The sequence below is a fragment of the Homo sapiens genome, chromosome 19 (genome assembly GCF_000001405.40).
Source record: "Homo sapiens chromosome 19, GRCh38.p14 Primary Assembly".
In the NCBI taxonomy this organism is placed as follows: Eukaryota; Metazoa; Chordata; class Mammalia; order Primates; family Hominidae; genus Homo; species Homo sapiens.
The window spans coordinates 52,083,286-52,108,610 of NC_000019.10; the positions used below are offsets into that span (position 1 = coordinate 52,083,286).

A 25,325-nucleotide genomic window follows, 5' to 3' on the forward strand; every position below is an offset into this window, starting at 1 on the left:
TCTGGGTGGGTAATTGAAAGAGTGATTGCCTCTTCTAGGATGGTGCATTTCCTATTTTGGTGAATCTGGCAAGATTCCCCACTACCCCAAGTTCAAGGGTGCCCCCTCCCACCAATGACACATGACATGTCCCACTCTTTAAAAAAAAAAAAAAAAATACTACTATGTTCTTTTTTCTCTTTGAGGATCTAAAAAAAATAAAAATTCTTTGTATTTCCATTTTCCAATTCCTTGGACTGTGAGGACATTTCATTATTTTGTGGAAATCAAAATAAAATAATTTTCATTTTATGCTCAATTTTCTTTTACTGCATTCTAGGAGCTATTTCATGTTCTGTAGTTAAAAGTTTTTAAATATATATGCCTTGATGTTCTTTTTTTAGGTTATGAAGGGTGTTCTTGATGCCCTGTTTTTTACTTGTTTGCTTACAAATTTTATTGTGTATATTTAAGGTACACAATATAGCAAGGTATAGATAGTAAAAAACTCACGACAGTTTAACAAATTAGTATATCCGTATCTCATAGTTACCTTTTTTTTTTTTTTGCTTTTGTGGCAAAAACAGCTAAAATCTCATTTAGCATAAATTTCACATATAATAACACGTTATTCCCTACCATCCTTATGTTGCATCACCTTCTTAATGTCTAAATTCCATCTCTGCTTGGACTTTTACCACAAAACAAATATATATATCATGTGATGTTTAAAATAAATGTAATATTTAATAATAATTGGTGGAATGACAGAATTTGGCTCCATCTTCTCTGACATCAAAAAAGTTTGGCTCTTACATCTGAGCAAAATTATAACCGTTTTACAAAAAACAACTGCCGGTAAGAGTCCCAGCAGGAACACCACATTCTCTGTGGGATGGATATGCTGAGAATGGCTAAATTAATCTGACATTCAGGTTGATTTCATATTTTAAAATCAATGATGGAATAAAACAACCTCTATCACTGATGTCTGTACCTAGTTTTCCATTCCATTCCCGGTCATTAAGATTGTGGAGTTAGAAAGAGTGACTGATTCATTATAGCTTCAAATGTGGTATAAAATCAGGCAGAAAAGATCTCCCCTTAGAGGCATCTTTTCAAGAATTTATGAGGTATTTTTGCATATTAACATGTGACTTCCACATACAGCTTCTCTACTCCTGGTCTACTGAGAGCTGACAGTGCATTCAGATGTTGCCCCTAAACAATCTCTGCTGCCCAAAAGCTGACACCACAGAACTCACACCCTGTCTCCATCCATGTCTGGGTGTGAGCCCTTCCCAGGACCATGCCCAGTGGAGCCTCTTCCCAAGCTCATGTCACTGAGTCACTGTGAGATCTGGAATCTAAGTGCAGAAGAGAGGGACTGAAGGAAGGCATGGGTGAGTGCGAGCAAATGTGTCAGGCAGGATACTTCAGACTCAGAGAAGATTTGCAGCTCCAATGCCCTGCATTTCAAAAAGGGAGGAGACAGAACAATCCACCAAGATTATCACTTTACCTGAGGAAGAGCCATCCCTGGCTCCTTTTCTTTCTTCTTTCTCTCCTGGGCCTCTCTCTCAGTCAATATAATTAATTCTTTAAAAGTCAAATCTGAAAGTCAAAAATATGTTGTTTAATCCTTGGAAACAACACATTCCTTTCTGTGCCACAACCATGCCCACAGGGAAGGCCTCAGCATGTGGAGAGACAGCCCAGTGCACCAGGGGGATGCAAGCATAATAAACTCCTACACAAAGACCAAGTAAGTTTTTCACCCTTTTCTTCAGAACTTGTTCCCCTCCCAGAGAAGCCCCCACACACCCTGCAACAGTGGGGAGCTGGGCTGGACTATGCTTCCCTTCAGGACACAGACCCATCCCTGATCAAACCCCATACAGAGCACAGCCCCCTCACCTCCCTGTGGATCACAGGCTGAGCTCAGCTCTCAGAAACAGAAGACACAAAGGCTGGACGCTCAATGCTGGATACAAATTAGAATCAATTTGGGTACTTTAAACAATATGGAGGTTGAGTCCATCCTACCTACTGGAAGTGGAATCTATGGTAAAAGGGCACAAAACGTGTATTTGCAAACTGCCTCAGCACGCTAATGTGAAGCCAGGGTTGAACACATCTTAAAGGGGGCAAGACTAGCACAGCCCCATCCTCCCAGCTCTGCTGTCCCCTTGGGGCTTCACTGTTACCAGTTTGTAGACAGTAGAACACAATGGACCAGAAACACAGAGACACATAATATGCACCAGGGGTGGGGTGAGGGTGTGGCTGGAGTGTTAAATGGTGAGAGGAGGGTGAGGCACAGAAGTCCCAATGGAGAAGGTGATATCAGAACAAAGACCTCAAGAAGGAAGGATGTTTGCACCTGCAGCTGAGGGGCCAGACAGCCCAGGTAGAGGCCCTGAGGCAGGAGCAACCTCAGCCCAGGGAACAGGAAAGAGGCCTGTGTGGCTGGAGCAGAGGGAGCAGGAAGGACACAGGGAGGAGATGAGGTCAGAGAGGTTCTGGGGAGCAGATTAGGTAGAGATGAGGTATTCAAACATCTTTCTCCCACAGCTCACAGTAATTTCAGAAACTATGCATTTCCTCACCCTTTTTAAGTAAACATAACTTTTCTTTATCACATGAATTAAAGCACTTCTTTTTAATGTCATGTTTTCTCTGTTTCAAATATATGCTGACATGTAAAGCTAAAGCCAGGAAGTACAGGGTCACCATCATCTGAGATGTGCAGGAGTGCAGGGGAATGTACTTGGTGAGTTCAGGCAATCACTTTTGGTGGAGATACCTGTTAGATGGCTAAGCAGAGAGAGGAGAGGACAAAAGGACACAGAATTCTAGAGTTCAGGGGACAGGTCTGCAGGGGACATGGAGACGTGTAGGTGGGTAGGTGGGTGATATGGATCAGCTCTGTGTCCCTGGCCCAAATCTCACACTGAATTGTAATCCCCACTGTTACTGGTGGGGCCTGGTGGGAGGTGGATGGATCATGGGGGTGGATTTGTGATGAATGGTTTCACACCACCCCTTGGTGCTGTTCTTATCATAGTGAGTTCTCACGACATCTGGTTGTTTAGAAGTGTGTAGCGCCTCCCCCCTCACTCTCTCTTGCTCCTGCTCCCGCCATGTGAGACGCCTGTTCCTCCTTCACCTGCCATGACTGGAATCTTCTTGCAGCCTCCCCAGAAGCAGATGTCGCCATGCTTCCTGTGCAGCCTGCAGAACTGTGAGCCAATTAAACCTGTTTTCTTTATAAATTACCCAGTCTCCAGTATTTCATTATAGCAATTCAAGAATGGACTAATACAGTGGGGTTTAAATTCATAAGATGAGATGATGAGGAAAGACAGTGGGTGTGGACAGAAACAAGAAGAGGTTCAAGGACTAAGCCATGAGTCATTCCCACATTGGGAAACATTCAGAGTCAGGACACAGCAGCAGAGGAAAGTGTGAAATGGTCAGGGAGGTGACAAGAAAATCAAATAGCTCCTGACAGGCAAAGAAAGAGTAAAGCAGGAAATGAAATACATTGGATTTAGAAATGGGGAGGTCACTGGTGACTCTGAAAAATAAAGTTATCAGTGGAATGGTGGATATGAAAGTTTCATCCAATGCATTCAAGACACAATTGGAGGCAACAAGTGAAGACAGAGACTCTGAACAAGATTGTATTGTATTATGGTCTTAAATGAAGCACAGAAGAGGGGTACTCACTACAGGCAGAAACACAGTTAATGGTATGTTTTGTTTTAATTAGGGCACAGTGGAAGGAAACTAGAGGCTTTAGGGTCTGTGTGTGTGCATGCATTTAATGGGCAATACACCACCATCAGTAAACACTGTTTAAAGTAATTCTGTAGAAGTAAAAATGAATGACACAGTTAAACAAATTTTATGGAAGCCCAAAGTATTTTCGTTGTTTTCTTTTTAACTTATATTTTAAGTTCAGGGGTACATGTGCAGGACGTGCAGGCTGGTTACATAGGTAAATGGGTCATGGGGATGTGTTGTACACATTATTTCATCATCCGGGTATTAAGCCTAGTATTCATAAGTTATTTTTCCTGATCATCTCCCTCCTCCCACCTTCCACTCTCAGGTAGATCCCAGTGTGTGTTGTTTCCCTCTATGTGTCCAAGTATTCTCATCATTTACCTCCCACTTGTAAGTGAGAACATGCAGTATTTGGTTTTCTGTTCCCGTGTTAGTTTGCTAAGGATAATGGCCTCCAGCTCCATCCATGTCCTGGGAAAGGACATGATCTCATTGTTTTTTATGGGAAGGCTGTTGTTTTGGACTAGCCTCCCGAACTACCAGACCAAGCCAGAATGAAGTCTCTTGTGCTGAGTGCCACATTATCAAACTGAACCTTGAAATGGGCCAGGTTTAGGGGAAAAAAAACTCCAAAAAATAAACAGAGAGGCCCGGCGCGGTGGCTCACACTTGTAATCCCAGCACTTTGGGAGGCTGAGGTGGGCAAATCACCTGAGGTCAGGAGATTGAGACCAGCCTGGCCAACGTGGTGAAACCCCGTCTCTACTAAAAATACAAAAATTAGCTGGGCACGGTGGTCCATGCCTGTAATGACCCCACCCCCGAATACTGGCACCACTATCTACTAAAACAGATATCTTCAATGATGCACACATGCCCCAATGAGACCCCAACATCTTCCAAGGAAACTCTCCATATTGACATTTAGATAATGCATCCAAAATGCATCTATAACCATCTTAACGTGCAGCCCAAAATACTCCAAAAAAAAAAAAAAAAACAAAGGTAGCCCCCCTAAATGATCTCTGTGATTTTCCAGATAATACTTCGGTAAGTTGCATGATTCCTGCACTCCCAAAAGACCCCGCAGAAGTCACCATGAAAAGTGCTTATGGCAGTACAGTTCTGGGTTCCACGCTCTCAAGACCAACGAACCAACCCTCCAGCTGCCCAACCTCCCTGTGGACTCCACTTAGGCCTTGCTTCTCACTTCAGTTGACGATAGAACAATATGAGTTTGGATTGTATGGGTCCATTTATAAAAGAATTTACTTCAATAAACATCTGAAAAATATTTTGAAGACTTGCAACAATTTGAAAAAACTCACAGATGAACCATGTACCCTAATTAAGAAAAAGGTATGCCAGAAATGCATAAAATATATGTAACTATTAGTCTATTTTATCACTTAGTACCATAAAACACACACAAATCTATTCTAAGTTAAAATGTACCAAATTTATATAAACACCTCTAGACTGTATATGGTTCCATCTACAGTCAAAATAAATGTAAAAAAATGTAAAGACGCAGTATTCAATCATAACTGCATTAATGAACTGTACTACATACTGAACTTCTATAATAATTTCATAGCCACCTCCCATTGCTATTGTGGTGAGCTCAGGTACCTGCTTAATGTGCCCCGTGATGTTAATCATCTCCATGTGAACTGTTAATCTCTCTAGTAAATTGCAGACCGCAGTAAAAATTGATCTCTGTGGTTCTGGCACATTTTTCATTGTTTGGTGCAATACGATAAACTCTGAATAACAACACAGGACCCATCTGAAGTGCCACTAGTGATGCTGGAAGTGCTCCCAAGAAGTAGAGAAAAGCCATGACATTATAAGAACATGTTGACTTGCTTAATACGTACCATAGATTGAGGTGTGCGATTCAGTTGCCCGCCATTTCAAGATAAATTAATCTGGTGTAAGGACCACTGTTAAAAGAGAAAATTCATGAAGCCGTCACTGCAGCTACACCAGTAGGCACGAAAACAATGTACTTTTTGCTAAATACCTTTTTTATCTCATATTGAAAATGCAGCTTTATACAGGGGCAAAATCACTATAATGAAGGCATACCTGTAGACTCTAATATGATTTGAGAAAAAGGGAAGTTATTTTATGACAACTTTAGGAAGGTAAAGGATCTAAAGCTGGAGAGTTTGATGCCAGCAAAATATGGACTGATAATTTAAGAAGTTTGGCTTAAAAAATGTCAAGATAACAGAAGCAGCCACTCCAACCAAGAGGCAGTAGATGGGGTCCCAAATGCTATGAAGAAAATCATTAATGAGCCAGGCATGATTGCTCACCCCTGTAATCCCAGCACTGTGGAAGGCCAAGGTGGGCAGGTCACTAGAGCCCAGAAGTTCCAGACCAGACTGGGCAACATGGCAAAACCCCGAGTCTACTAAAAAATACAAAAAAAAACAGCCGGACATGGTGACACACGCTTGTAGTTTCAGCTACTCGGGAGGCTGAGGTGAGAGGATGCCTTCAGCCCGGGAGGCGGACATTACAGTGAGCCGAGGTCACATCACTGCACTCCAGCCTGAGCAACCGAGCAAAAAATAAAGAAACTGTGGCATTCCAAAATGATCCATGCACAACCACTCATAATCCCACTTCCAAGTGCTTCTGCCAGACCTAAGAAATTCCTTTCCAAGAGTTCCACATACCCCTTGCTCTTATAACCACACTTGGGACAGGTGCACACACCATACCATGGCTCATCTGAAGGCCCACCCTTGCTTTCTGGAGCCTTCTATGGACTCCCCTCCATTTTCCCCCATTTTTCTACCTCTCCTCCATGCATGCATGAACAAACTAGGCTAAAAGGTACAGGATCTCTGGGCACATGCAACACAGCAGGAGTGTACACAAACTGCAAACTGAAGGACCCTGGGCCTTCAGTATGAAGACCACAAAGTTGGGCCTGCTGAGAAAACTTGCCAGCAAGTGCTGACAATATTAAGTCTAGTTTAAAGGCAGCTGGGCATTGGCTAGATTAAGTTCAGTGAGGATGTCTCAGAAGAGGGGCCCTAAATCTTTCTATACACTAAAGACAAAATATCTGAAAAAAGAAATAAAGAAAACAGTCCTATTTGTAATAGCATCAAAAGGAATAAAATACTTAGGAACAGATTTAACCAGTGAAGTAAAAGATCTGTACACTGAAAGCTCTTAAGACACTGATAAAAGATATTGAAGAGGCCAGGAAAGTGGCTCATGCCTGTAATCCCAGTGCTTTGGGAGGCTGAGGTGGGAGGATTGCTTGAGGTCAGGAGTTTGAGACCAGCCTGGGCAACATAGTGAGACTCTTTCTCTACAAAGAAAAGAAATTAGCCAGGTATGGTGGTGCATACCTGTAGTCTTAGCCCTTCACCCAGGTATGGTCGTGCATACCTATAGTCTTAGCTACCTGGGAGCCTGAGGCAGGAGGGTTGCCTGAGCCCAGGAGTTCAAACCTGCAGTGAGGTATGATCGCCCCACTGCATGCCAGCACTCCAGCTTGAGTAACAATGTGAGGCTGGTCTCTTAAAAAAAGAAAGAAAGAAAGAAAGAAGGAAGGAAGGAAGGAAGGAAGGAAAGAAAGAAAGAAAGAAAGAAAGAAAGAAAGAAAGAAAGAAAGAAAGAAAGAGAAAGAAAGAAAGAAAAAAGAAAGGACTGTAGAGAGCCAAAAGCCAAAGGGTCATGACCAACTCTGCATTCCACTGAAGGCTATATGATTAAACAGCAAACTGTTTATCATGAATGCAGGATGTGGGCAAACTCACATCTGCCCTGCCGCCAGAAGGTATGCTGAGTGCAATTACTCCCTGGCACCATGCTCCTTGAGGTTATCTACTGAAACATCTGGAGGCTACTGTTCAGAGAATGCAGTCGTGCAAGCCTGCACCAAGTCAAGCAGCTGACTGACAACCACCCGCTTCTCCCTATCTCCTTTACTCAATAAATATGAAGGGCTCTAAAAGCTCAGGACTCTTGCTCACTAGAAGCAAGGAGCCCCTGACCCCTTCTTCCAAATATACTCTTTTGTCTTTGTCTTTATTCCTGTGTCCGTCCCCCTTTGTTCAGTCCACAGGCATTGGGGCTGCAACAAAGGATAAAAAAAACATTGAAGAACACACAAAGAAATGGAAAGCTATCCCATGTTCATAGATTGTAAGAATATTTTAAAATGATTAAAATGTCCATACTACCAAAAGTGATCTGCAAATTCAGCACAATCCCTATCAACACTCCAATGCTATTTTTCACAGATAAAAAAAGAAAAAACCCTAAAACTTTTATACAACCACAAAAAACTCCAAAGAGCCAAAGCAGTGTTGAAAAAGAACATGCTAGAGGCATCATACTTTCTGATTTCAAACTATATTATAAAGGTACAGCAATCCTAACAGTATAATACTGGCATAAAAACACACAGAGAACAATCAAACACAAGAGAGCCCAGAAATAAACATGCACATATACAACTAGCCTTTGACAAGGGCACCAAGAATATACAATGAGGAAAGGACAGTCTCATCAATAAATCCTGTCGGGAAAACTGTATATTCACATTCAAAAGAATATGAAACTGGACCCTTATCTCACACTATATGCAAAGATAAACTCAAAATAGATTAAAGATTTAAATATATGATCTAAAACCGTAAAACCCCAGAAAATAGAAAAAAAGCTCCTTGACATTGATCTTGGCAATGATTTTTTTGGATATGACACCAAAAGCCCAGGCAACAAATGGTGGGACTACATCAAACTAAAAAGTGGGACTATGTCCAACTAAAAAGTTTGGCCAGGCGCAGTGGCTCATGCCTGTAATCCCAGCACTTTGGGACGCCAAGACAGGCAGAGCACTTGAGGTCAGGAGTTCGAGACCAGCCTGGCCAACATGGTGAGACCCTGTCTCTACTAAAAAATTAGCTGGGAGTGGTGGTGCAACCTGTAATACCAGCTACTACGGGGGCTGAGGCAGGAGAATCATTTGAACTCGGAAGGCACACATTGCAGTGAACTGAGATTGAGCCACCACACTCTAGCCTGGGCAACAGAGTGAGACTCCATTTTGGGGGTGGGGTGGGGGAGGGGCAAAGCTCCTGCACACCAAAGGAAACAATGAACTAAATGAAAAAGCAATTTGTAAGATGGAAGTATGTATCTGCAAACCATATATTTAATAAGTGGTTAATATCCAAAATATATAAAAACTCCTACAATTCTACAGCAAAATACCCCAAATAATCTCAATAAAAATGGGCAAAGGACCTGAACATTTTCCAAATAAGACATACAAATGACCAACAGGTATATAATAAGATGCTCAAGATCACTAATCATCAGAGGAATGCTAATCAAAACCACCATAAGCTATCACCTCATACCTCTTACGAAGGCTATTTTAAATAGGCAAGAGATAACAGGTGTTAGCATGATATGGAGAAAAATGAGCCCTTGTACACTGTTGCTGGGAGTGTACATCAGTACAGCCATTATGAAAAACACTATGGACATTCTTCAAAATATTAAAAATAGAACAACAATGCAATCCAGCAATCCCATTTCTGGGTATATATCCAAAGGAAATAAATGAAACCAGTATCTTTAAGAGACATCTAGGCCAGGCATAGCAGTTCATGGCTGTAATCCCAGCACTCTGAGAAGCTGAGGCGACAAGATCACTTGACACCAGTAGTTAGAGATCATGCTGGACAACATAGCAGAGACCATGTATCTGCTGAAAAAACACAGACAAAAACAAAAAAATGGCTGGGTGTGGCGGCTCACGCCTGTAATCCTAACACTTTGGGAGGCCAAGGCGGGCAGATCACGAGGTCAGGAGTTCGAGACCAGCCTGGCCAACATGGTGAAACCCTGTCTCTACTAAAAACACAAAAAGCTGGGCGTGGTGGCGGGTGCCTGTAATATCAGCTACTCGGGAGGCTGAGGCAGGAGAATCATTTGAACCTAGGAAGTGGAGGTTGTAGTGAGCTGAGATTGCACCATTGCACTCCAGCCTGGACAACAGGGTGAGGCTCTGTCTCAAAAAAAAAGAAAACCTTACAAAATATCTGTCCCCCATGATCACTACAGTATTATTCATAACAGCCAAGATATGGAAACAACCCAAGTGCCCATCCATGAATAAATATGTGTGTATATAGACATATACAGAGTGTTCATGTGTACATATATATAATGGAATATTATCCAACCCTAAAAAGAAGAAAATCCTGCTATTTGCAACAACATGGATGAACCTGGAAGACATTATGCTAGGTGAAATAAGACAGACACTAAAAGACAATTACTGTATGACCTCACAAGTGGAATCTAAAAAAGTCCAATTGATAGTAACAGGGTAGAACAGTTGTTGCCACAGGCTGCTGGGGGGTGAAAATGGAAAATGTTGGTTAAAGGGTACAAATTTTCTGTTATAAAATGAAGAAGTTCTGAGGAAGCTAATGTACACCATGGTGACTATACTATATTGGACACTTTAACAGTTTGGAAAGTTTTTGAAAAATCTAATAAATTATGGGGTAAAAGTTCAAAAAATGATGGCACTTAATATTCAGAAATGAATGAGATCAGCTGATTATTGGATGCCACCAAATCTTATTTCTGGAGTTAGCAACTATAGGAAAGAAGCAATTGAATAAAATGTATCTCAAGCTTCCAAAATAACAATTAATTAACTGTAAAGCAACTACAAAGAAAAAAGTAAATTCATTACAAAAAAACAAGACTTTCAATGCTTCTGCGAAGACATACCTTGTAGGCCTAGTGTGGTGGCTCACATCTGTAATTCCAGTGCGTTGAGAGGCTGAGGTGGAAAGACTGCTTGAGGCCAGGAAGTAGAAGCTGCAGTGAGCCGAGATCATGCCACTGCTCTCCAGCCTAGGCGGCAGAGAGAGACCATGTCCCCCCCCAAAACAAAACAGAACAAAGCCAAAAAAAACACCAAAGACATATCTTGTAGTGACAGTCAGTCATTTCTTGCCCCATTTCTCCCCTCCTTTATGCTCTACTCCATCATTGGGAAGAAGAGAGTTACCACAAATAACTGGATCAAGTCACTGCCCTCTGGCTAAATAGGAATTCCAAATATCTTTTGATACAAATACATACAAAATGCACAAGGCTTATAGAAAAAACTTTGGTGATTTTCATCCTCATGAGTACAACTTAAACATATTTCAAATCAGAGTATAAAGCCACAAATCAATATATTACAACCACCATCCATATCCAATCAACTGTCACGCATCTGGATGGGGTCCTCTCCCGCTTTCTTCACGGCTATGTGTTTCCCTCTCTCATTCTGAGCGTCTTTTTTTTCTCCTTTTCTGTTTTGCACCCCTTTCTTTATTCCCTCTTTTATGTCTGTTCTGCCCAATGCTCTGCAACTTACTTCACCTCTCGTAGCTCTTTCTCCCCAATCTTTCCGATTGTCCCCAATCTCCACGTATTTCTGCCTCTTTTCCCCCATCTAAGCTCCCTCTCTGCTCTCCTTGTTAAATTCCCTCTTCCCTGTTACATCTCCTTTGTTCCCACTCTCTAGCACCCCCAATTTCCTAGGCTTACTCCCTGCTGTGGTTCTCCCTCTACTCTGCTTGTCACCCACTGCCCTCTCTCCCTCTCTTTCAGTCCCAGCACCACGTAGCTCTGTCAGCCGCGGCTCCAACTCTTTCACCTTCTCCCCACTGTCTGTCTGTCTGCAGTGCCTCCTCCTTTGCCGCCCCACTCTATTTTGCTGCCCTTCATCTCTCTGAAGGTCCCCTTTTTTTCTAAATTTCTCTGTGTGCTTTTCTCCCCCTGCTACTTTTTCCATCCGTTCTCTTTCACTCTTGCTCTCTTTGCAAGTCCCTAAAGTATCATCCATTTTGCCGTGTATTTATGGGTCTCCCTCATTCTTTTCTCCTCAGTTTTTCCTTTTGCTCCGTCGTTCCCCGTCTTTTCCTCTCCTGATCCCTCTCACCCACACATTCGGGAGGAAAGGGGAGGAATAGGATGCCCACCTCCCGGAAGAGCACATTTTCCAGTGGAGTAAAATTTGGGAAGGAAGAACACTGGGTGTCACAAGACAGACTCAGGTAACCTGTCCCAACGGGGAGTCAAGAAAAGCAGTGGCTGTGAAGGGGAAGCCTGGGGAGCGGAAGGACCCGGCGTGAGGACGACACGAGGTGGCGCGGAGAACGATGTCTCACGACAGGGAGGGTCTGCAGAATCCCAGGACGTGGGAGGAGAAGCGGCTCCTTCAGGAGCCGGACAGTGGGCGCTCCCCTCCAGGGGCAGACGACGGAGGAGCTCGGGGATCGCGAAGGGCGCTAGTCCACATCCCGAATGAGGACTCGACTTGGCGCGGGGCCCAAGCAGAGGGTTTTAAGCGGGAACACTACCTGAATGGGGTTGTCTACATGGTCCTAAGGAAGAAAGGCAGAGAGCAAGGAACGGCCTCAGAGAGATTTTAAACCGAAAGGGAAGCAATTCTCCTACTTACTTGGGACGAAGGGGCTGTTGCGGGTATTTTAAGGTCCGTAGCGATCCCCAGGTCACGGGTATGGAGAACCGAGGACTGCGAAGTGCACGTTTAATCAAGGTAGACGAAGAGAAGCAAACGTTTAATCCAGGTAGACTGAAACACACTCATAGCGACGTGGCCTTTCCCCAGCGCGATCTGCTTCCGGGTGTGCAGGAAACTGGGCGCGGAAAGAAAAACTGGGCGGCCTGGGGGCGGGGCCTAGGCGGGGCGCGACTAGGAAAGGGCTGGGCGGAAAGACTGGCCTGACTTGGGAGTGGCCCGAAAGGGTGGTGGGAGGCCCAGGGCGGTAGGGGGCGTGACTAGGTGGGGCTTGGCTGGACCGAAAACTGGGATGAAGCGGGGCCTCCAGGGGTGGGCGGGGCCGAGGCGGGGCCTGTTCTCCACTCCGCCTCTCACCCAGCAGGATTTTGTTTTCCAGGTTTGGGAGTATTTGTGACTATTTCTTGTCCTGTGAAGCAGCGTTGCTCCTTGCCCATTTTAAATTAATGTTTCAGAATTTAAGGTTGAATCTTAAAGTTGTGGTCCACTTATACTGGAAACTAAGATGATTTATTCTTAACAAGTTGAACTGATTTAAGTCAAAACCGATTTTTCCGAGCCTGGTGGACTCCATCCAGTCTTACCAGAAAAGCTGAAGCTACTCAGTAGTCAGGGAACTGGGATCTCGGTGGGGATTGGATGTGGAGCAGTGACTGGATCCAGGAACCCAGAAGACATTATGCCAAGCGAAATGTGCTAGACACAGTGTAGAAAATGAAATAAGTAGAGGTTCCTCTTCAAAGGGACTTTCCTCCCAGTCTAATTGAGAATAGATAGTAACCTCTCTTAGAAGCAAAATTTACTCAAAGACCTGTGCTAATATTCTTAAATATCTGCTAGCCATAATAGATAAATCAATATACTCTGTGTTCTTAGCTCCCACATTTTAGCCTAGATATTTGCCCTGGCATGCCTGAATTGTTCCAAGCAAGCATTAGGTCACAGCCTATTCCTCTTCCTTATTTGGAAGTGTTTTTGCCTCTCTCAGCCTTCCACAAGTTACTTCCTCTCTTCCTTTGTTCTCCTCTGCCTTTGCCTCTTTTGGGAAGTTCTAAGGTGCTAGCCAATCAGGTCAAGCACAGAATTGGGTCCGATTCCAGCCAATGGAAACCAGACACAGCAGTAGGGTGGACGCGTCAGGTTATTATTATTATTATTTTTTTTGAGACGGAGTCTCGTTCTTTCGCCCAGGCCGGAGTGCAGTGGCGCTATCTCGGCTCACTGCAAGCTCTGCCTCCTGGGTTCACGCCATTCTCCTGCCTCAGCCTCCCGAGTAGCTGGGACTAGAGGCACCTGCCACTGCGCCCAGCTAATTTTTTGTATTTTTAGTAGAGACGGGGTTTCACTGCGTTAGCCAGGATGGTCTCGATCTCCTGACCTCGTGATCCGCCCACCTCGGCCTCCCAAAGTGCTGGGATTACAGGCATGAGCCACCGCGCCCGGCCAGATGCGTCAGGTTATAAATGACCCTTCTCTTTTGTTCATGTGTACTCTCGTGGCAAGACTGCTAGTGAGCAGCACCCTTTCTGCAGAAAGTAAACTAGCCTTGCTGAGAGATCCTTTGTCTCAGTGTTGATTTTTGCGACACTGAGCACCCGTTCCCAACACACACAAAGAAACATACTTCATGCACTTACTTACACGTGCTAAGTACAAACATCAAATTCAGAGTAACAAAGTAGAAGGGTGGTTTCCAGGGCTGAGGGTGTTTCCTATGCCTGTCCCACCATTGTATTTTGGAAGCAGATAACTTCTCTGGCTTCACAGATTCACAGCTGGGCAGAAACTTTGCCTCAGGATGAACCACACCTTGTGTCTCACCCATATGTGATTCAGATAATATTTAGGTGATATTTGGGCCTTAGAGTTGATACTGAAATGGATTAAGACTTTTCAGATGGGCCAGGCAAGGTAGCTTAGGCCTGTAACCCCAACAATTCAGGAGGCCGAGTCTGGCAGATTACTTGAGCTCAGGAGTTCAAGACCAGCCTGGGCACATAGCAAGAACCCCGTCTCTACAGAAGATATAAAAATTAGCCATGCTTAGTGGCACACTCCTGTAGTCCCAGCTACTTGGGCGGCTGAAGTGGCAGGATCACTTAAGGCCAAGGATTTGAGACCAGCCTGGGCAACATAGTCAGACCCCATCTCTACAAAAAATTAAATTAGCCAGGCATGGTGGCCTGCATGTGTGGTCCCAGCTATTGGGAGGCTGAGGCAGGAGGATCACTTGAGCCCAGGAGGTCGAGACTGTGACAAGTCATGATTACGCCACTGCACTCCAGCCTGGGTGACAGAGAGAGACCCCATCTCAAATAAATAAATAAAAGATTTTTGTTCTGATGGGAGTGAAGGGATCTTGCATGTAAGAAGGACATAAAGTTTAGGAGTCCAGAACACAGTGTGTTATGAGCAGAAAAATTTCCACACACAAAAAAAACCCTATCTTGAAGTCCTAATACCCAGTACCTCAGAATATAACTGTATTTGGATATATGGCATCTACAGGAGTGATCAAGTAAAAATAAGCTTGTTAAAGTGGGTTCTGATCCAATCTGGCTGATTTCTTTATAAGAAGAGGAGATTCAGCTGGGCAAACTGGCTTGCCCCTGTAATCTCCACATTTTAGGAGGCCGAGGTGGGCAGTTCCAGCCCAGCCTGGGCAACATGGTGAGACCCTGTTTCTACTAAAAATACAAAAATTACCTGGCAATGGTGACCCACACCTGTACTCCCAGCTACTGAGGAGGCTGAGGTGGGAGATTTGCTTGAGCCTGGGAGGCAGAGGTTGCAGTGAGCCAAGATCACACCACTGCACTCCAGCCTGGAAGTCAGAGTGAGACTCTTGTCTCAATAAATAAACAAATACATAAATGAAAGATAACGCCAAGGAAGCAGGGAGCTAACTTGCCTTCTTCTGTTAGGTGTTTGATGAAAAATTGAAGCAGAAAGTTTATGAGCTATGTATGTTATCTGCGCAGAAGGGCTATATGGCCTAAGCCAGAAAGAAAAACAGACCTACAGCTTATCTGCTTCCTGTATTTTGTTTATATGTCCTGGACCATGAAGAAAGGCAGTTTTTTAAAATTTTGTTTTGTTTTGTTTTTTTGAGGCAGAGTCTCCCTCTGTCACCCAGGCTGGAATGCAGTGGCATGATCTCAGCTCACTGCAACCTTCGCCTCCTGGGTTCAAGCAATTCTCGAGCCTCAGGCTCCAGAGTAGCAGGGACTACAAGCACCCACGACCACGCCCAACTAATTTTTTTCTTTTTTTTGTATTTTCGTAGAGACAGGGTTTCACCATGTTGCCCAGGGTGGTCTGGAGCTCCTGAGCTCAGGCAATTTGACCGCCTTGGCATCCCAGAGTGCTAGGATTACAGGCGTGAGCCACCGCACCTGGCCTAGAAAGGCAGATTTATAGCTTATTTGCTTTATCTCTTTGCTTTCCCCTGGTCCTGCCAGGCTGACTCCTTTTCTCTAATTAGGTCTCCACAGACTATACCATAAAAGTGCATTTTTCTCACCCTCCTATAAAATCCCTGGACTCCTAGTTTTACTACAAATAAACCAGGATTCTATTTCCCAGTATGAAAAGTTTGTCAGAAAAAAAGAGGTAGCACGGGACCTTCTTTCTTTTCTTCAAAACTAATTCACCTCCTCTTCTTCTCTTTCCTGTCTCTCTCTTCCTAGACTGGCCTGCGCAGTTCTAGATCCCCAGTGAATCCTTGGGTTGACATACAAGGGACGAAGAACCTATAGGAAAGGGAAATCTCTAGCTCTCAGAGGTGGCTTTTTGGATGTCTGGATGCATTCATAACCATCCTCGTGTTGCCAGAAAGGGGTCCTGATCCAGATCCTGAAACCGCCATTGCAAATTATAACTGAGAATTATTACAGTGAAAGGGATCCGACCTAACCAACTCCATCTTGCTTTTAACCTCCAAGCTGCCTTTGTCCACTCCTGGGTGTAGGCCAAACTAGCTTTGGGAGGAACTTAGTTTATCTTTTAAAATAAGGGCATTAATAGCCCTTTCCCAAAACAAATGCCCTTTCTGCTTGGGACTAGACTGCCTTTATAGGATTAACAAGTTAGTCACAAGATTAGAAACTATAGTTTAGGAGTCATGCAGCTAGAGGCTACAAGATTGTCACCTTTCCCAAATTGTTCCTGGGAATAACATCAGTATTTTAAAACCTAAGATCAGTGTTTGAGAAATTTTGCAGTCCCTGCACTTGATGGATCACCTGACACCCAGATCAATAAACTGACTCATCTGGTCTTGTGACACCACCCAGGAACTGACTCAGTGCAAAAGGACAGTGTCAACTCTCTGATTTCATCTCTGAACAACCAGTCATCACTCTGGACTCACTGGCCCCTACCCATCAAATTATCCTTAAAAACCCTGATCCCCAAGATTTCAGGGAGACTCATTTGAGTAATAATAAAACTTCAGTCTCCTGTACAGCCAGCTCCACATGAATTAAACTCTTTCTCTATTACAATTTCCCTGTCTTGAGGAATTGGCTCTGTCTAGGCAGCAGAAAAAGAGAACCTATTAGGCAGTTAAACCCAGAAGAAGGGGTTCTTGGATCTTGTGCAAGAAAGAATTAGGGGGGAGTCCAGAGAGTAAAGTGACAGCAAGTTTTTTAAGAAAGTAAAGGAATAAGGCAGGGTGCACTGGCTCACACCTGTAATCCCAGCACTTTGGGAGGCTGAGGTGTGAAAATTGCTTGAACCCAGGAGTTTGAGACAAGCCTGGGCAACATGGCAAAACCCCATCTCTACAAAAAAAAAAAAAAATTAGCCAAGGGTGGTGGCATGCACCTGTAGTCTCTGCTACTCGGGAGGCTGAGGTGGGAAGATTGCTCAAGCCTGGGAGGTGGAGGTTGCAGTGACCTGAGATCACACCACTGCACTATTGCTTGGGCAACACAACCACTCTCTCTCAAAAAAAAAAAAAAAAAAAAAACATATATATTAGATAGATAGATTCAGACAGTTTTTATTTCAACACTGAATGTTTACTTTTGAAACTCCTGACGTTTAAGTTGATAAAAACTCAATTTTCCCCATGCTAAAAACTTTATACATGTCCTTTCTTCATGCATACATAGAACCCTTCACACAATATAATTGTTGGAAGTGTTTCTGAAATACTGTTTAGACAAATTACCTATATTTTTACACCTGTACTATAAAATTAATATCTAACAGACAATAAATATTAAATTATTTAATAGAAGAATTATTTTTCAAAGGCTAATGATTTCACAGCTGTAGCAAAACTTTTTTCTTTTTTTTTTTGAGATGAGGTCTCACTCTGTTGCCCAGGCTGCAGTGCAGCGATGTAATCACACCCCACAGCAGCCTCCACCTCCCCAGGCTCAGGCAATACCCCAACCTCAGTTTTTGTATTTTTAGTAGAGATGGGGTTTCACCATGTTGCCCAAACTAGTCTAAAACTCCTAGGTTCAAGCGATCTCCCCACCCCCACATTCTAAAGTGCTGGCATTGCAGGCGTGAACCACTGTGCCTGGCCAAAATGTAATTTTAAAAATAATTTTTAAAATCATTATACAATTTCCTAGAAACGATTTAATCCAATTTAAAGATTTACATTTCTTTCCTTGTACTTCAGTGAAAAACTTATAGGATTAGTAAATCAAGGTGGTATTTTCAGATTTGTATGGCAAAAAAATATGCGGAGACCTGACAGATGTAAAGGATGTATTCTATCAATATATGGAGGGTCCCTTACATTTTAAGTTCAGTGAAAGAACTGGAATGATACAAGATAATGAACTAAAATTGTATAATGTAAAAGCAAGAGCTCTGTTGCTAATGTACAGCTGTATCAGTTGGATTTTTAAAAACCCAACATACTAATTTGGCAGGGTGCGGTGGCTCATACCTGTAATCCCAACACTTTGCGAGGCCAAGGTGGATGGATCACTTGAAGTCAGGATTTCGAGACCAGCCTGATCAACATGGTGAAACCCCATCTCTACAAAAAAATACAAAAATTAGCTGGATTTGGTGGCATGCACCTGTAGTCCCAGCTACTTGGGAAGCTGAGGTAGGAGAATTACCTGAGCCCAGGAGGTGGAGGTTGCAGTGTGCTGAGACTGTGCCACTGCACTCCAACCTGGGTGACAAAGCAAGATCCTGTCTCAAAATATTATAACATGTGACAGTGCAGCTTCCAGCAGAAATAATCTGTTCCTCTTTTGCTCACACCAAATATTCACCCCCACTTCTAAAAAATATAAAAGAATAAGCCAAAATGTAACTTCAAGTCACAAGCAAGGATCTCATGACAGTCTCATGAGACTTCTTTTCATTGAGAGCCCAGTAGAGTTCTCCTCACTCACAACACTTCATTGTGGAACAGAAAAATGAAACCTGAATAAACCCTCCCATCCAGAAAAGGAAAATAAAGAAGGTACCCCGTAGTTTCTGTTTCACAGCAAATGTGCAATGTTGCTGAGAAGATGAGTCAGGGACTGATTCCACAAGGTCAAGAATGAACAACAGTCCTTTTCATGGCTACAGTTCTCCTGAGAATGTTTCCAGTCCATTGTGATTTGTTGTTCTTGACTTCACCTGATGACATCCCTAATACAGTATCAGAAAGTATGCCTTCCTTGTGCAGTAAGCACCTTTCTCCAGCTACTTCTATTTATTTATTTATTTATTTATTTATTTATTTATTTATTTATTTATTTTTAAGACAGGCTCTGTTGCCCAGGCTGGAGTGCAGTGGCACTATCTCGGCTCACTGCAACCTTCACCTCCCAGATTCAAGTGATCCTCCTGCCTCAGCCTCCAGAGTACCCAGCTACTTCATTCCCACAAAAATTTACCATCCAAAGGATTATTATAAATCTATATTTAGTTTTGTTTTTAGAAAATACTATGGACTGGTAGAAGTCTCAAAATACAACACGACTAAAAATACAGAAATTAGCCAGGCATGACAGTGTGCATCTGTAATCCCAGCTACTCTGAAGGCTGAGGCAGGAGAATCACTTGAGCCCAGGAGATGGAGGTTGCAGTGAGCTAAGATTCAGCTATTGCACTCCAGCCTGAGCCACAGAGAGAGACTCTGTCTCAAAAATAAATAAATAAATATTTTTGGTAGGAAAGCTTAAAGAAAAATAATTCTATATGAGAAAGAATCTTGTATCAGAAATTTTGTCCTGGAATAAAATGACTGATTGTATAAGAAAGATGAATGTTCAGGAAAAACAAGAAATCCCACACATGTCATGAATGGTCTGTGTAAGTCATAATAAGATTGATGAAAAAAAGTTTTATGTGATCAAATTCACTATAATTAAAGGGAAATTATAATGGTCTTTCTAGAGATTGGGTTTTGATTTTAAAAAACACCACTTATACACTAAAGAATTGGTTCAAACTACAAAATTTTGTTAAGCGGTGCTTTAAATAAATTATGAAACATAATTTATTCAATGTAAAGTTCAAGTTTTATGGAATCTCACTGTTTTCAGCTTTCTCTCCCCTCTTAAAAGGCCTGAAATCATAACTTTTTCACCTAATTTTCAGCTCCTGTAGCCTTTTTTTCTTTGGGTTCTAACTGTTGTGGCCTGACACTATAAAATGTTTTATTTTTGAGGTCTAAAGGAAATGTTTCTTTCCAAACATAATATCTCCCATAGGGAACAGCAGTCACACTGTAGAAGGGCTTTTCTTTTGCCTTTGGAAAACTGGCCTACTAAACAGATCTCACACTTTATCAAAGTAATTCCTGTGTCAGTATTACTAAGTTTGGTTTGGTTACAAGGAAATTTAAATTAAATTTTTTTAAATTAAGTTTATTATGTCCATATAACTTTCCGTATATGCTTTTAGGTCCCTGTTCCATTCAGTTAAAGGGCTTTGACTCCTGGGTCTAAAAAGGACACCAAGTCTTGCTAAATCTTAAACACTGACAGCAGTTCAAGCCTCATCTTCAGACCCAGTAGAAGTTCCTAATCAAAATAAACTGTGTTTGTGAAACACAGGGCAAGAAATTAAAACTATTCAACTCCTCAAGTACCAGTGGTTATACTGAAAGAAGTGGACATGTGAGATTGTCAGGGTCAATTTTTAGAGCTGAAATAAGTTTGGTTTCTCTAGAAATTAACTATCAATTTCAAAGGCAAATTGTTGCAAGACCAGCATATGAGCCCCTGCGTCAGATTAACAAGGTTGTCTTGGAGCATTAGCCCACCTTTTTTTTATTCTGGAGATGGAGTCTCACTCTGTTGCCGAGGCTGGAGTGCAATAGTGCGATCTGGGCTCACTGCAACCTCCACCTCATGGGTTCAAGTGATTCTCCTGCCTCAGCCTCCCAAGTAGCTGGGGTAACAGACATGTGCCATGATGCCCAGCTAATTTTGTATTTTTAGCAGAGATGGGGATTTACCACGTTGGTTAGGCTGGTCTCAAACTCCTGACCTCAGGTGATTCACCCACCTCGGCATCCCAAAGTGCTGGGATTACAGGCATGAGCCACCGTGCCCAGCCTAGCCCACTATTTAATAAAGATTATATAGTGTATAAAAAGGCTCATGGAAATTATACTTACAGGCAAGATGATTAAAATTTTATAGTTTGTTTATAAAATATTGAAAAACCAATTTAATTGGCCTTGTGCCATTTTTACTAGGGAATATTGTTTGGGAAATTAAGTCTTTTCTCTCAAAAAATAAAGGTTGCCACCTTTTTTTGAAATCTTTGCGATACCACTTTGGTTAAATGAATCACTTATTTTATAATGGCCTGTGATCCTATTTTATGATATCAAGTGTTTTAAACTTTTTATATTTGACAAGCTTTCCAAAGTCACATTTTAACTTGCGTCGTCATTAAACTTTTGTTAATCCCCTGAAATCCAGAAGAGACATATTTGGCTTATTTGGTATAAAAATCATACAGGAAGCATTGTCAAATACAAAATGGTGTTTGGCTTTCTGTGGGCTGTACTTGTATAAATATGAAATTGGCATGTATTCCAAAATTATGGAAAACTCTTATAATTCTGATATGACTTACTATATGTTATTATTTTATTTTTTGAGATGGAATCTCACTCTGTCACCCAGGCTGGAGTGCAGTGGCACCATCTTGGCTCACTGCAACCTCTGCATCCTGGGTTCAAGCAATTCCCCTGCATTAGCCTCGCAAGTACCTGAGACTATAGGTGTGCACCATCACACCTGGTTAATGTTTGTATTTTTAGTAGAGATGCGGTTTCACCATGTTGGTCAGGCTGGTCTTGAACTCCTGACCTCAACCCACCTCAGCCTCACAAAGTGCTGCAATTACAGATGTGAGTGACTGTGCCCAGCCACATGTTATTAATAATTATAATTGTTGGCTGGGCATGGTGGCTCAAACCTATAATCCCAAAACTTTGGGAGGCCAAGGCAGGCGGATCACCTGAGGTCAGGAGTTCAAGACCAGCCTGACCAACATGGAGAAACCCCATCTCTACTAAAAATACAAAATTAGTCGGGTGTAGTGGCGCATGCCTGTAGTCCCAGCTACTCAGAAGGCTGAGGCAGGAGAATCGCTTGAACCCCAGAGGAGAGGTTGTGGTGAGCCCAGATTGTGCCACTGCACTCCAGCCTGGGCAACAAGAGCAAAACTCTGTCTCAAAAAATAATAATAATTATTATTATTATTGACTATTATGTAAAATGGTGGTATGTCACAGAAGTAACCAAAATTTCCATTATAGTCAATTGTGGTTTTAATAACAGCTGTCCTGAGACATTTTGTTGCCACAGGCAATTGTTGTCTTGTTTGGATCCTCTTCAAAAGTTGGTTTATAATCAGCTACAGGAATTTGATAGGTGCTCTGGAATGCAAGTTTCTGATAACTTTGGAAAATGTGACATTAGAATAGAGGAATAGAGGAAAGAACTTTCAAAACTTTCATGGATAACTAAAATGTTCATGAATATCAAACACAACACACATTAACTGCATGGACTGAACTAATAGGAGTCTAAAGTAATCTTTCTGATTTTTTCTTTTGATCCTTTGTTTTGTTTTGCAGAGTCAAGGAAACTTTTCTTTTGAGCTATTGACAGCAATTTTTTTTTTTTTTGAGACAGTTGCCCAGGCTGGAGTGCAATGGCATGATCTGGGTTCACTGCAGCCCCTGCCTCCCAGCCTCCCAGGTTCAAGCGATTCTCCTGCCTCAGCCTCCCAAGTAGCTGGGATTACAGGCACCCACCATCATGCCCAGGTAATTTTTGTAGAGACGGGGTTTCACCATGTTGGCCAGGCTGATCTCGAACTCCTGACCTAAGGTGATCCGCCCACCTTGCCTCCCAAAGTGCTGGGATTATAGGCATGAGCCACCGTGCCCAGCCGACAGCATTTAACAATTGAGGAAAGTATACTGCTGTGAAGAAAATTTGGAACATATTTGTTTCTCTCTACCTGCTTTCTCCAGAATTTGGAAACTATTTCTGAGTATTCTTTTTTTTTTTTTTTTTTTTTTTTGAGATGGAGTCTCACTCTGTTGCCAGGCTGGAATGCAGTGGCACGATCTTGGCTCACTGCAACCTCTGCCTCCCGAGGTCAAGCGATTCTCCTGCCTCAGCCTCCTGAGTAGCTGGGACTACAGGCATGTGCCAACACACCCAGCTAATTTTTGTATTTTTAGTAGAGACGGGGTTTCACCATGTTGGCCAGGATGGTCTTGATCTCTTGACCTCGTGATCTGCCTGCCTCAGCCTCCCAAAGTGCTGGGATTACAGGCGTGAGCCATGGCGCCCAGCTTACGTTTTTCAATTTTTATGATTTTCCACAGTTTGGACTGAATTCTAATTTTTTCCAGCTACATGTCTCTGAAATAATGTTTTCAATTTTTTCTTCTTTCTTTTCTTTTTTCCCCCATATTTTCTAATTTGAAATCACTGAAAACTAAACTGTATTTTCTTGAAGCCCTGATAACTGAAGCTAGACAACTTAAACTTCAGAAGAAAATAACAGCAACCTATTCACATACATAAGCCACTTTCATACCTATCTACTGATGTATGGACTTCAGAGTAATATGGCCTGTATCTATTTTCCAGGATTATTCTTTGTTTTTCTTCCTTCCTCCTGCTATTTTCTCTTCATAGGACACGACACTTTACAAACTGCTAAAAATGAGCTTTCCAAATAACATGGGACTTGCCCACCTGAAAATAAACTGTCCTAGCCATGAAGGATCAGATGAAACCTGATTTTTTTTTTTTTGAGACGGAGTCTCGTTCTGTCCCCAGGCTGGAGTGCAGTAACGTAATCTGGGCTCACTGCAACCTCTGCCTTGCAGGTTCAAGTGATTCTCCTGCCTCAGCCTCCTGAGTAGCTGGGACTACAGGCATGTGCCACTACGCCTGGCTAATTTTTGTATTTTTAGTAGAGATGGGGTTTCACCACGTTGGCCAGGATGGTCTCCATCTCTTGACCTCGTGATCCGCCCGCCTTGGCCTCCCAAAATGCTGAGATTACAGGCGTGAGCCACCGCACCCAGCCTCTCCCAAAGATTTTTAAAGGAGAAAAGGGGAAATGTGAAAGGAAAATAAATCTTGGCACCCAACACTCACTAAGCCAAAGGGAAAAGTCAAGCTGGGAACTGCTTAGGGCAAACATGCTTCCCATTCTATTCAAATCATCCCTCTGCTCACTGAGATAAATGTGTGTGATTGCTTCCTTTGAAAATGCTTACCAGAAACCCAAAAGAATGCAACCTTTGTCTTTTATCTACCCGATGACCTGGAAGCACCCTCCCTGCTTGGACTTACCCTGCCTTTCCAAACCAAACCAATGTGCATCTTACACATTAACTGATATCTCCTAAAAGTGTATAAAACCAAGCTGCGCCCCAACCACCTTGGGTATATGTGGCCAGGACCTCTTGAGGCTGTGTCACAGGCAAGCATCCTTAACTTTGGCAAATAAACTTGCAAAATTGACTGGAACAAAAGAAGTAATCTTCAGAGAAAATAAAAATAACAGGGAAAAACAGGGAGATTACATGATAAAAATGTCAACTTACAAAGATGATTTCAGAACCATCAGTGTGTATGCACTAAAAAACAGCTGCAAAACGTGAAGCAATAAGTGACAGAAGTGAAAGAAATACACAAATTTAGACTGAGCAAAGAGGATTATTAGGGTAGTCAAAGTACTCTGTATGTTACCATAATATGTGAATATGTGCCATTTTACAGTTGTCCAAACCCACACAATGTACAAGTGTGAGCCAACTATAAACTAGGGATGTTGGATGATAATCTACCACTTTGGTGGAGGATGTTGACAATGGGGAAGGCTATGCATATGTGGGGGAAGGAGCTATATGAGAAATCTCTGTACCTTCCACTGAATTTTGCTGGGAACCAAAAATTGCTCTACAAAGTAAAGTATATCATAGAAAAAAAATTGAATTAGAAAATAGGTTAAAAATATGAGAAATTTCACCGATGCAGATGCACAAATAGGCAAACGAAAAGATTTTCCATATTACTGTCCATCAAGTCTCAGAAATTAACAATGTTCTATTTCTTTATTGTAATTGAAAACTGAACAGCAAATGAATTTTTATGGTTTGTTTTCTCCAACAAACTTAATAATATTAAAATATGTGAGAAATAATATTTATTGCAACAGGTTATGAGGGTGGAAACAAACAGTCTCACAATTTGCTAGAAGCATAACAGAGCTTACTGACATTTTCAAGGAAAAACAACAAAGAAAGAAGTCATCAAACAAGATGGTATCTTGACAAAGGCACAGAGCTCCACAACTGCTTCATACTCTGCACACAATAAATCCTCTCAGAGAGATGAAAGGAGTGATGACAAATGGGCTTGCATTTGAGCTGTGGACACTATCACTGGTATTATTCATATAACCAGGGCTCTATATCACCCCTCTGGAG

The 25,325-nt window shown here is 42.4% G+C and overlaps 1 protein-coding gene across 19 annotated transcripts in view, besides 1 other annotated feature; it reads right to left on the bottom strand.

Moving 5' to 3' along the window:
• ZNF841 (zinc finger protein 841) overlaps window positions 1-12,480 on the bottom strand; it is a 37,276-nt gene extending 24,796 nt beyond the window's left edge. For 5 of the 19 annotated variants that reach the window (NM_001369829.3, NM_001436340.1, NM_001321349.2 and 2 more), the window contains exons 1-4: window positions 12,290-12,480; window positions 10,561-10,686; window positions 5,652-5,717; window positions 1,502-1,593 (exon numbers count right to left, since the gene is read on the bottom strand). In NM_001369829.3, the coding sequence (NP_001356758.1) occupies window positions 1,502-1,516 (15 nt within the window). In that variant the 5' untranslated portion in view covers window positions 1,517-1,593; window positions 5,652-5,717; window positions 10,561-10,686; window positions 12,290-12,480. Of the gene's footprint in view, window positions 1-1,501; window positions 1,594-5,651; window positions 5,718-10,560 lie in introns of all 19 variants that reach the window. The other 14 variants (XM_047438655.1, XM_047438652.1, XM_047438653.1 and 11 more) reach the window with 8 other exon arrangements.
• Window positions 16,500-16,669: an enhancer, noted in NCBI's record as "experimental_51593 CRE fragment used in MPRA reporter constructs". NCBI's record gives its function as "activates a minimal promoter by MPRAs in K562 erythroleukemia cells, with activity observed for both the introgressed and non-introgressed 19:52603123 variant alleles {active_cell/tissue: K562}" and the evidence as "EXISTENCE:reporter gene assay evidence [ECO:0000049][PMID:34662402]".